This window comes from Homo sapiens, chromosome 4 (genome assembly GCF_000001405.40).
Source record: "Homo sapiens chromosome 4, GRCh38.p14 Primary Assembly".
Lineage (NCBI taxonomy): Eukaryota > Metazoa > Chordata > Mammalia > Primates > Hominidae > Homo > Homo sapiens.
Genome location: NC_000004.12, coordinates 32,339,984 through 32,353,586, shown reverse-complemented (window position 1 = coordinate 32,353,586; position 13,603 = coordinate 32,339,984). Strand labels below are relative to the sequence as shown.

The 13,603-nt window shown below is 33.4% G+C and overlaps 1 long non-coding RNA gene across 1 annotated transcript; it reads right to left on the bottom strand.

Moving 5' to 3' along the window:
* Nucleotides 1-366: 366 nt before the first annotated feature.
* Nucleotides 367-2,549, bottom strand: LINC02353 (long intergenic non-protein coding RNA 2353). Its single transcript, NR_134672.1, has 2 exons — nt 2,444-2,549; nt 367-1,109 (listed from the first exon to the last, which is right to left on the bottom strand). It is a non-coding gene; the product is annotated as a long intergenic non-protein coding RNA 2353 (long non-coding RNA).
* Between the last annotated feature and the right edge of the window lie 11,054 nt (nt 2,550-13,603).

The window sequence follows — 13,603 nt, the reverse complement described above, 5'->3', positions numbered from 1 at the left end:
AACATTTTTAACCTAGTACTTGTGTTGCCAGAAAACATAAACTTTATATGTTCAAAAACTTGGGTTTTTTTTTTCAAATTCTTATAGCACTTGTGGCATAAAAACTATGTGAATTTAATATTAGCCTATTATATATAATATTTGTTAATATGCCGAAGGACATATTTAAGACTTGCCACATTCAAGGTATTGTGGATTATTGAATTAGAATTTACATCCCAGGAGTGTTTTGTGGATTTCTGTGACACATTCAGGTAGGATAATTCTTTTGCTAAATACTTCCAAATAATAAACGAGTATGAAGTTTCAGTATAGGTAATTTGTAGACCAGTGAAGTAAAACATAAATATGTAAAGAACCAACAAATAAAGTCGTATCATATTTAATTTGTTTACTGAACCATTACTTCATTCATGTATCAAGGATTTATTTACTTGATATAGAAGAGATACAGCCATCTTATTGAGAAGAACATATGTAAAATCTCTAGCTTCCTTGATCACTTTGCTGTGACAATTTTAGAACATAAGATGAGACAAAATTTAGATACAAATTGTGGTAGTTAAAGAAAAACTCATTAAGAATGTACTCATTACTATAGTTTTAGCCCTTTGACAAAATGATAGACAAAATTAGTGAAGATATGTATTATGAAATGAAAACCACGGTGTCAAATGTATATGACTCATGGTAGATCTTAATAGGCTATAGGTCAATAGTGAAGTATCAGTTACATCTACTCGGTTCCATGTCCTTTAGATGAATAGGCTTCCTACATTCACATTAGGTTGTCTAATGGGGTATGCAATAGTTAGGCATGATCGCTGATAGGTTCATGGCTGGATAGAGGGTGTAGAATCTAAAATAGCTCAGCAGTGACTCCTTTCAACTCTTTTTCACATTGCTTTCTGGTCCTCCTCATGTTCTGTGTTTTTTCTTTCACTGTTGGATGGTGGGATTAATTTATTTCTCCTTCTCATTCCATGTCTTATCTTGTCTTTAGGAGATGAAATGTTTGCTTTAAAAATATGCATTTATATTTTCTGTTCCATACTTTGGTCAATGACTTTATTTGAACATTAAGTACTCCTTCTGTATTGCTTCAGGTACTAGAAAGAAAGTTAGACGGAAATAAAATACACAAAATTCACTGGTTAATACCTTGTGATATAACTTTGCCAGACAATTAAAATAATTTAATAAAATAACATTACATATTATAAGAATGTAAATCAAGGTTGTTCAACCTGCAGTCCATGAGCTGCATGTGACCCAGGACAGCTTTGAATGTGGCCCAACAGAAATCTGTGAACTTTCTTAAAACATTATGAGATTTTTTTATGTGAATTTTTTTTTAGCTCATCAGCTTTTGTTAGTGTTAGTGCATTTTATGTGTGGCCCAAGATAATTCCTCTTGTTCCAATGTGGCCAAGGGAAACCAAAAGATTGGACACCTTGTAGAGAACATCATATTTCATGGCTTGTTCATGAAGTATCTTCTAATTGCCTGCAAAGGTTACATAAACATTTCCAATGCACAGCACTTTAAAACAGGGGTCCGTAACCCCCAGGCCATAGACTGGAACCAGTCTACAGCCAGTTAGGAACCAGTCTGCACAGCAGGAGGTGAATGTCAGGTGAGTGAGCAAAGCTTTATCTATATTTACAGCCACTCCCCATTGCTTGCATTACCACCTGAGCTCCATCTCCTGTCAGATCAGCAGCAGCGTTAGATTTTCATGGTAGCTCAAACCTTACTGTGAACTGCACATGTGAAGGATCTAGATTGTATGCTCCTTATGATAATCTAATTTCTGATAATATGTCACTGTCTCCCATCATCCCCAGATGGGACTCTATAGTTGCTGGAAAACAAGATCAGGGCTCCTACTGATTCTACATAATGGTGCATTGTATAATTACTTCATTATGTATTGCAATGTAATAATAATAGTTATAAAGTGCACAATAAATGTAACACACTTGAATCATCCCTTAAACATCCCCTCTGCCCATCTGTGGAAAACTGTCTTCCATGAAACCAGCCCCTGATGCCAAAAAGGTTGAGGATTGCTGCTTTAAAAGGCTATTATATGTTTCCAATTACAAGTTACAAAACAACTTCTGGAGAATTAGAACTTGTTCAAATCCATCAAGATAGTAAGTGACTAAGTCAATATTTCAACCTAGGTATAAATAACTGTCATGACATCATTCTTTCTGTTTGTCCACTCTGCCTAAAAGTATTGCCTTGTATTGGGGGAGGGGGGTTTTATCACTTAGTTTTCTTAGCAAATTTTTTGTTATTTTATTTTTTTTGACATACAATGGCAAACTTAGTTGACTTCATCATAGCAATATCACAAATACCTTATAATTGAAATCTAGTTACTACTAGTTATTGTATTGCTATATATGACAATCATTATAAGAGTTAACCAACATAATTTTCATTCAGTCAGATATTTTTTCCTCATTTTCCTAGTTCTTGGTTTTGTTTGTTTGGTGTTGTTACAGGTGGTGATCTGGTTTTGTTTGTTTAAGTAGTCTCTTCATAACTCAATATAGATGGAATCATCAATAACAATGCCTCATCTCTCAACAAAAAGGTGGGCTTAGAACTCAGAGGGAGCCTATTAGAATTCTGCATCCACAAGATGGGCCAATAAGATTATTCCCTGAAACATGTTAGGTAGAGCCTGTGAAAAAGGCACAGTAACTTGCTCTGTAACACACAATAAAAGGCCCTTGAACTACTAGGTGGCTATATAGCATGGTAGCAAGGAAGAATGATAGTTGCAAAATAAAACCAATTTTCAGAGGGAATTACAGATTGATACAGGGCTCTGAAATGACCATTTAAGCCATTAGATTCTTTTGTGCTTGAAGTCATTTCTAGGGAATAGACAAATTTCCAAGCTTTGTTAGTCAAGTTTCATTGTGTTATTTTTGTCACTGATGACTGAAAGAGTTTTGGCAAACAGAGAAATTATTATGTACAAATATGCTTCTAAAGTGACAGTATATTAAATAATGCTATGGATAAAATAGATTTGGGGGCAATTTTTTTACTTAATCAGTGAAACATTAACAATCTTCATCATATGACAATTAAGCAGGTGACTGGTTGTAGTAATAGATGTTGTGTTTTAGAATTCAAACTGTATACTTCTCAAAACTGAAGTTTTAGAGGATTAGTAGAAAATTTCTGTATATTGGAGTGGATTTCCAAAAATCTCTTTTCTCAAAATAAAATAATGTTAAACACATTCTGTTTTACGTTTTATTCCTTTTAGTTTTTGTGGTTAGGGAAAATGGAAAGGTACAAATTATTCTAAAATTTTCTAGAGAATAAAACGCTTAGTTCATGAGAATAAGTGATAGGAAGAGTTCTTGATTCTTCATGTTGACAAAAAAGGATCTGATTTGTATTGATTTAGGCAAGTAAATGAAGTATAAGGTAATTTATTTAGGGATTAAATTCACATTATAATTTCTTTTTTTTTAAAAAAAAGGTCAGAATCTGATAGGTTAATTAAGGTGTTTCTCTGGTCCAGAAAACCTCTCTTGATTCTGCTTTTTACAGCTCTGCTGACTAGGAAGCCTTTCACAAGATACGGGTGCTCAAATTATTGTTAGAACAGGACAGTTGGGGCCTGTAGAGAGCGGTGGGAGGTGAGGAGAGGGTGGCAAAACTGCATCTCCAATTACACTTTCTGCTTTTAGGTTCTTTGTTACACACAAATTGGTTCCTTAATTTATTCCTTTGAGGGTTAAATTTTAGTTCAAATTTCTGTTGACTTTTATACTTTTCAATTTAAAATTTCAGATACATTAAATTTTTTAAATCTAGAAAATTATAGCAAAAAAAATTAAAAAGTCCTATATCCCACCAATCAGAAGAAGCAGTCAGGCTGATAAAAGTCTCTTGGTCATTATTTGATGTGTAGGTCCTACTCTCATTTCCAAATTAGGATTAACTGAGGCTACAGAGTAGTATCCTATTAGTTGGAAACATTTCTAGCGATAAATAATAGCAAAACCTACATCAGGGGCTTAAAAAAGCAGCGCTTAAGAAATCACCATAAAGCCAGGTTCTTCTCATCTTTGTATTTCCCCAGTCTTAGAATAAAACTCTTTGTTTAAAACATCCCATATTTTAAAGACAGCTGCTTGCTCTGAAAGCATCACATCCATGTTTTAGGTAGAAGAGTAAAGGGGTATCTCAAGCAAGTGTGTTTTTTTTTAGAAACTCTCATCTCTTCCTGTAGCTTCAGTTTCTTAAAATCAGCACTTGCATATATAAGACCTAAAGAGTTATTCTGGGAAATGGTCACATGGAAGAACAAGGAATAAAAAAGAGTCACGTGGTTAAGAAGCAGCAGCCAACCTAAGGGCACGTGATTAAGTTGATTATCACAGTGGGCACCAGAGCATTAATCCTACTGTATAGAATACATCTCGGAATCCTATCTCGAAAAAGAAAAAGCCATTTTATCTACTTACTCCTGCATCCCACCCTTATTGGACAAAGGTCATCCCAGAGGTAATTAACTCCCTCTCACTTTGCTATTATCATACGTGCCAGAAGAGTTGAGCGAGCTTGGTCAGGCAGGCACCCCACACAGTATGAGCCGAGTAGACCCAGGCAAAAAACTATTAGTACTTTTCAAGTTAGATTTAATGAGACTCTATCGATCATTTATTAATTTATTTTATTTATGAACATATTTCATCAGTCTTTCTACACTAAGATAGTATTCTATTTTTCCTTTTATAACTTGTGTTATGTTATCACAAATAATTCATTATTCTGCCACATTTGCTTAGTAATGGTCACCAATTTCTGTTTTCATATTTTTCAGACACATGATATCAATTTCCAAATAAATTATTTAATTTTTTTCTTTTTACACTAGATGTAAAACTATAAAAAACTGATTTTTGCCTTATAGCATATCATCACATTTTACTCAAAAAATAATAATATACTTCAGCAAATTTGTATTATCTCTGTTTATTTTTATATAGATCTCCATAATTTTCTCTGAATCCTTTGGTTTATATTATATAATTTTGTTATAGTTTTCATACTGTAACTAATGTATTTCCACCATTATATTTTTAACTTCTTCTTGCCTTTATAAGAAAGAAAGCTATTTAAAATCTGTATACCTGGCCAACTTCCTCACTTCTATAACTTTCTAGCTTTAATTGGATTTTTTGAGGTGTTCAAGGAAGCAATTATTATTTCTGTTTTTTACTTCCTGCATTTACTAGCTTCAGTGAAAAATTTAAATAATAGTGATGCGAACAGGCATCATTTTCTTGTTCTTGACTTTATTGAGAATGACTCTAGCACAAAGTATTCTGCAAGACATTAATAGATACATATAAAAAATTTCACTGGATGAATAAGTTGAAGAGGATGAAAGTCAGGCACAATTGAATAGCTCCTGGCAGCTAATTACTCATGTAAATTTGAGATATTATTGTTTTTATTACATCTCATTGTCTTCACATTTTTTTAATTTCCTACAGGAAATTCCCAATGAGTTTTTACATGTTTAATATGTACCTACAGAGGAATTATCATAGTTTTAATTTAATAATTACTTGCCAATTTTAGATATTTCATGTATTGTCCACTGAAGTATCAATTATCTATTAGCTTTTTAAAATATTATTAATTGAAAATAAATATTTAATTTTAATATAATCAAATTAATCAACATTTTTTCCTTTGATGTTCAAAGAAATCCTTATCATCCCTAATTGCCTGTCACAAACATAATTTTTACATTGTTACTGTTAATTTTATTGTTATACAGTTAGGCTTTCACATATCAAGTATTTGAATTATATCTTCAATCCATGTTATATTAGCTCCCTTCAATGTGTGATGGTAGATAAGGATCAAACTAGGTTTATTTCACCTACATAATAAGTCCCTCCTTCCGTCACCATCTATAAACATTATGTCTTCTTCTCATTGATTTCTGGGACTCTTTATCATACAACAAGTATCTTTATGTACTTACATCTGTCCCTAAGATATTTGTTGTGTTCCACTGGTCCAGTAATTCATTCATCCATTACTATGTCATTTTTTTCCACATTTATTGAGGAAGGAGTAACAAAACTTCCATAGATGTGAAGTGTCCAGCACGATGTTGCGAAATTAATATTACCATTAAGCTAATTAATATACAAACACCTCACATAGTTATCCTTTGTTTTATCATAAGAACATTTGAGATTTACTCTCTTAGCAAGTTTTGAGTATACATTAACTAAGTCAGCATTGTGTATGTTAGATCTCCAGAACTGTTTGATTTTATAACTGAAAGTCTGTACCCACTGAACAATATTTTCCCATTTATTCCATCTGCTAATCACTATTGCACACTTTATTTGTATGAGCCTGACTCTTTCAGATTTCATGTATAAGTGAGAACACGTAGTATTTGTCTTTCGGTATCTGGCCTATTCACTGAGTATAATGTTCTCCAGGTTCATCTGTGTTGTCACAAATAGCAGGATCTCCTTTTTAAAGAAGTGAATGTTATGGGATTGCTGGATAACAGGGTAGATCTATTTTTATTTCATTAGGAACTTCCATACTTCTTTTAATAATGTTTGTATCCATTTAGATTCTCACCAACGCTGTATGTGAGTTCCCTTTTCTTCATGTCCTGGGCAATATTTTTGTAATCTTTTGACTTTTTAATAATAGGCATCCTAATAGCTGTTAGGTTATATCTCAATGGTTTTGATTTGCATTTCCTTGTTGATTATGGATTTTGAGTATTTTTTCATATACTTGTTAATCACTGTGGGTATTCTTTGGAAAAATGTCTATTCATATCTTCTGCTTATTTTTAAATTGGGCTATGTATTAGTTTATTATAGAATTGCAGCACTTCCTTATATATTTTGGATATAAACCTTTTATTATACATGTAGCTTGCAAATACTTTCTTCCATTTCATATGCTGCCTTTTCATTTTGTTAATTGTTTCCTAGGCTGTGCAGAAAATGTTTGCCTTGATGTAGTCCCACTTGATTATTTTTGCTTTTGTTGCCTGTGCTTGTGGCAATATGTTCTAAAACTTATTACCAAGACCAATGTAGAAGATTTTTTCTCTGAAAAATGTTATGGTTATAGTTCTTACCTTTAAGCCTTCAATGCATTTGAGGTTTTTTTTTCTGTGTGGTTTAAGGTAACGATCCAATTTCATTCCTTTCATGTGGTTGTTCAGATTTCCCAACAATTATTGAAGAGACTATTTTTCCCCATTATGTATTCTTATTGAAGATATGTTGAACATATATGATTGGGTTTATTTCTTTTTTCTCTAATTTTTCCCATTGGTCTATGTGTCCATTTTTATGAAAATACAACACTGTTTTATTTACTATCACTTTGTAATATAATTTGAAGTCAGGAAATGTGATGCCTCCAGCTTTGTTTTCTCTTTGTAGGCTTAAAGGGCATTGATAAAGCAATGCAAGAGTGTATTTCCTCCCCTCTTTGACCTATCTTTTTCTTATTTCTGTGATATAGCTAGGTACTCTAATATCTTACCTGGATTTTTTAGCTCTTGTGAATGTATTTTCCTGCATGAATAGCTGTTCAAATTAATATTTCTCTGAGGCAAAGAGCACTGGAAAGTTGTATTCCATCATCTTGTTGACATCACTCTCCATTAACATTAAAACATCTCCCCTTTCTTTCTCTCTCTATGTTTTCCTTTTTTACCCCTTTGTTTTCTGTATTGATGAGAACCTTGTATTATCCAGATGTTTGCACTTGTATTTTTTTCTCCATATGTCTTACATCATCGCTTTTATTTACGATATTGTTAATGCTTTCAAGGTGCTTGATGGGTGTTTGCCTTAAATTAACTGTTCTTCACCTATATCTATCTCATTATTTTTCCTATCCCTTGTATTATTTGATTTTGCCATATATATATACATATATATACACACACATATATACATATATACACATATATACATATATACATATATACACATATATACACATATATACATATATACACATATACACATATATACATATACATATGTGCATATACGTATATACATATATGCATATACGTATATACATACACACATATACATATATACTATATATACACATATATATACATATATGTATATATATAAGTATATCCGTATATACTTATATACATATATGTATATATAAGTATATACGTATATACTTATATACATATATACATATATATACACATATGTGTGTGTGTGTGTTAGTACTATTAAGTTCTTGTTCATGTTTCAATATCTTCCCTTATCTCCATATGAATATTCATTGGGTATATTTTAAATCTCTGAAATGTCTCTTCTATACCCACTTAATATAAGCTGTCTAGCGTAGTCTTTATTTTGAGGTAACTATATGTTTAGGCATTAATTATTTTTGTCTTTTAAGCTAAGGGCATCAGCTACTGTGTCTGGTAATACCGGCGGGCAAGTGACTTAAAGCTGGGTCTCAGTCCTTACTACCACTGTGAAGCCAAAGAAAAGGGGCAAGATAAAGCTCCAGAGGAGGATGCTCCAAGTATTGCAATTGACCTAGTCTCTTTTTATGATTTCCTTTTTCTAATGAGTCAAACATTTTTTCAGGGATTCACTTTAAACCTTTTAGGAGATGCGGAATTGAGAGAAGAAACTCACCCAAATCTAGGGACTCACAGGGGCCAAATTAGAGTAGTGAAGGCCATTATCATCATGCATCACAAATGTTACCGATGGTTTTCGCAAACTTAACAGCAAGAAATGAGAGTGCAAAACTTTAGTATCCTGCAACCTATCATTTCATTGCTGCTTATGACAGCCCACATTTTTAAAGTCCATATAAAATCAACATAAGATACTTTTCGGTTTCCTCTCTCACATTTTAATGTACTTGAACTGTGGCCATTTAAAAAGTAAACACAAGAAAAGAAGAATACATAGTGATTCCATGTGATTAAAATATTAGAAGAAATCTACTTCCAATAGCACTCATCTTATAAGATTATATTTTATGTATATAATATTATCTATCTGATGCCTGCATTTTTCTCAGTTAACTACTATTATTTGGTAATAAATATTTTTAAATGAATATTCTCCTACATGTCTCATGTCTTGTAACTTCTGAGTTATTTAGACTTCGAGATAGGAATAATTGTTTCAAGAACCCTCACAAGACTTTGTATGACATGATTTCCTCATTCCCAGATTCTTCATTCTGATCACTCAATGTTTATTAGCACTTGTAACTTACTGATAGTAATGCTTTAAACTGTAAAAAACAAACAAAACAGTGACAAAAATATGCTTTGTTTCCTAATAGTCAAGAATTTTTTTAAATGAATTTCTTGGGTTATTCAAATGTGGGTGAAAAACATTATTCAAACCAGAAGATCAAATTTGGACCCTGCAGTACACACTACTTTATGCTACTTTTCTGATTTCCAGAGAATTTATTCTGTCAGTCAAAGACTAAACTGTTTTAGTATTTTCAAAATGTAATAAAAATTCCAGAAAAAATAACATATTTTCTTATGAATTAGAAAAAAATGCAACTTCTACCAGTGGTTACTGTAGAATCTCTTAAATTCTTGCTAAAATCAGTAAAAAGTAAAAAAGAGTAATATATTAAAGTTAAATAATAAGCCTGAAAACAGCAAATTCAAAAACATTAAGAAAGTGAATCTTTTCCAAGTCACTACATTTACTTTCTTTTTATTGATTCATATGGATTCTTACTATTCTAAAGTATAATGTTTTCCTAAATTCCTTCCAGAAATTTTTAAATAAAATATTATCACCTAAAAATAAACCTGCTGCAATTGATCTGGATGCTGAATCTATTTGAATTCGTTTCAATTCCAGAATCTATGAATAATAAGTTTACTCTTTCAGAAGTTTTTTTTTTAAGGGAAACTGTCTCTACAGTATAGATTTTCATCAACATCAAAGTGAATAAAATAAGATCTTAGCAGTAAAGAGGGAATTGTTGAATAGCTGTAATGTAAACAAAATGTAGTACATTTATTACATGTAAATTATTTAATTCATGTCATAATAAACTAAATCATAATGCTAGTGAATTGTGATTGAACATCAGAGTTGATCAACTCATGTCTGGTAAAGAATATGTAATGAATAAATTAAATTATCTCTCTCCTCATATATTTAATCATTGATTTTTTTCTGAAACATTGTTTACTGAGCTACTTTCTGAACTTTGAAATATTTATTTCTTTTTAAATATATAACATATTGACAAAATCCATACTGAATTAGATTTGGGAAATTAAAGTACAATTTTATCCCTTCTGCATTTGATTTTTCTAATAATTTTGATTCTTTCCTGAGAGCAATAAAATACTATTCTATGACTTTTCTATTGTTTCTGTAACAAATTACCACAAATGTAGAGGCTTAAAACAACACACATTTATTACTGTACAGTTTTAAAAATCAGGAGCCATATTGGGTCTCACCATGCTAAAATCATGGTATGGGCAAAGCTGTGCTTCTTTCTGAAGGATGTATGGGTGGATCCACTTGCCTGCCTTTTATAGCTTTTGGAAAGCAATTTTGGGCTTGTAGCCCCCTTCCTCCAGCTTCAAAGCCAGTAATGCTCATTTGAGTCTTTCTGAGAATACTTACTTTTGTTTTTTTTTTGAGATGGAGTCTCTCTCTGTCGCCCAGGCTGGAGTGCAGTGGCAAGATCTCAGCTCACTGCAACCTCTGCCTCCCAGGTTCAAGCTATTCTCCTGCCTCAGCCTTCCCAGTAGCTGGGACTACAGGCATGCACCACCACACCCGGCTATTTTTTGTATTTTTGAGTAGAGACGGGGTTTCACCATGTTGGCCAGGCTGGTCTCAAACTCCTGACCTCAAGTGATCCACGCCCCACGGCCTCCCAAGGTAGTGGGATTACAGGCATGAGCCACCACGCCCAGCCAACAATGCTAGTTCTTTGCATCTAACTCTTTTGCCTCGCTCTTCCCTGAGTAAGCCTTATTTAAATTATCCAAGATAATCTTTTCATCTTAAAATCAGGAGATTAGCAATCTTGGTTCAATTTGCAACCATTTTATTTGATACAACATTTTCATATGTTCCAGATGAACAACCATGTTGGAAAATTATTGTATTGACTTTAGTTAACATTGTAAACATGACATTCAATGATTAAGTTTATTATGCATTCAAAACATTTTACTGGTCACTACAATGGGCAAGGCACTACTAAGAACACATGGTTCTTTCTCACAAGGTATATAACACATAATGAAATCATCAGGGGGGTTATTATGCCATTACACTTTAGTGTGACTAAAGGTATGATAGTAAGAAGAGCAAGGTGCTAAGGGGAGAAGCACACACAACAAACTGAGTCTCTACAGTGAGGTGAAATTGACTTGCTTTGGAAGGCATCTTTTAATGTGGGATTCTAAGTAAAAGTATAAACAGCCCAAAGATGTTGTTTTGTAAGTATGCAAGCATGCGTATGTATATAGAAAATACGTGCACAAGCGTATGTGTGTGTGTGTGTGCATACACACAATGTAGATCCAGATAAATGGAGTAATTTGTGTCGTGACTGAGGTGGAATGGTATAAATGGCATATTCCAGTGAATGTAATATAAAATGATAGTATATTAGCGGGAGGAAACAGTTGCTTGTCAGTGGTAAACGTGGCAATTAACTAAAAATCAAATTGGGAAGAACTCTTTTTCCTGATGAAGGAATTGAGAAGAGACTGAGGATATCATCAAGTCTAAAGGTTTTTGATAGATAATTAATTTAATCAGACCTTTATTTAAGAGAATTATTTGAGCAGTTGTTTGAGTAATTAAGTGGCAATTGAGGTGAAGACCAAATGACAAGCTTACAATTTGTTGCAGTAATCAAGAGAGAAGAAATTAAGATCCTGAACTAGTTGGCTGAGAACAACCTGTTACATAAAACAGGCAGACTATGACCTGTGAGATCTCCACTCTCTAAGTATCTATTGACACAGGTGTGGAGCATGAACAGAGAATCCATCTCTTCATGTCAAAACATTAAATCCACAAGAAAGTGTCATTTCACATAAAGTAGCAGGATTGTGTCTTACTGTATTTCACATTATATTAAACATCCTATATTTCCAAACAAATGTGGATTTAAATGGTCGTAAGTGTGTTTAGTCTAGCCAGGCAAGCCACAGGAGTGGTTTACAAGGTTCACAGTTCCACTTTATTAATGTCCCAACTGCTTCTTATAGCAAAAACGTAAGGCTTGTATGATTTTAAGCCTACTGAAACCATTTTCCCCCTTTTTCTCTCTAGAGAATTTCAGTGCCTTTATTTTATTTATCTTTAATATTTGAAGACATTTATTCTGAGCCAAATATGAATGACCAGTGGCCCATGACACAGCCCCAGGAGATCCTGAGAACATGTGCACAAGTTAGTTAGGTTACAGCTTGATTTTATATGTTGTACAGAGACATAAGACGTCAATCAATACATGTATGATGTATACTGGTTCAGGTGGGAAATATGGTACTATTTGAAGTAGGGGGTTCCAGGCCATGGGTGAATTTAAAGATTGTCTGACTGGCAATTTGTTGAAAGAGTTATTATCTAAAGATCTGCAATCAATAGAAAGGAATATCTGGGTTAAGATAAGGGTTGTGGAGACCAAGTTTTTCTCATGCAGATGAAGCCTCCAGGTAGCAAGACATAGGTAGCAGAATGTAGATTTTTCCCCACAAGAGGAAGCTTTGAAGAGTCATTTTAAAATATGTCAAAGAAATATACATTGGGGTAAAATACTTTGATTTCCTTCAGGGCCTGCTATCTGTCATATGATACTATACTAGAGTTAGGCTGGGAGTTGGTGTCTTTTGCTACAGAAGACTGTTTTGTCAGGCTTAAGACCTGTTTTAATGTTAATGCTTATCAGTGTGCCTGAATTCCAGCTGGGGGAGGGCATAGCGAGGTCTGTCTGACCCTGCCTTCCTATCTTGGCCTGAACTAGATTTTCAGGTCTACTGTGGAATGCCCTTGGCCAAGAAGAGGAATCTATTTAGTTGGTTTGAGGGGCTTAGAAATTTAGTTTTGGTTTACATTCACCCACTTCTGGCCAAGATCCAGTTATATCCAGAGGCAGCATCAGTGGCCACCAAACTTTTATTCTGTTCATAGTATTACCAGGGTAGCATGGCTACCTGCCCCAGGTCCATCCTGTCCCTCAGTGGGACCCCTATGGCCAAGGGATTTAGACTCAAAAGACCTATAGCGAATTTAAATGTTCTAGGCCAGATGGGAATAGAGGCGTATAGGCATTCACTGACAGTTAACCTTCTTTGAGCAATATAAAAGCCCAAAATCAAAAGCCAAAGGCAAGTTTACAAAATTTGGCTTCTCTATAACTTCTGTACGTCGAGCTACTCTAATCTTGGTTTTAGTTACAGACTTGTAGCAATTGACTATAAAAAAACATGAGCATTTTGTTAAAGCTTTCTAATCTAAGAAATTTTAGACATTTTTGCTGTGCTGCAAT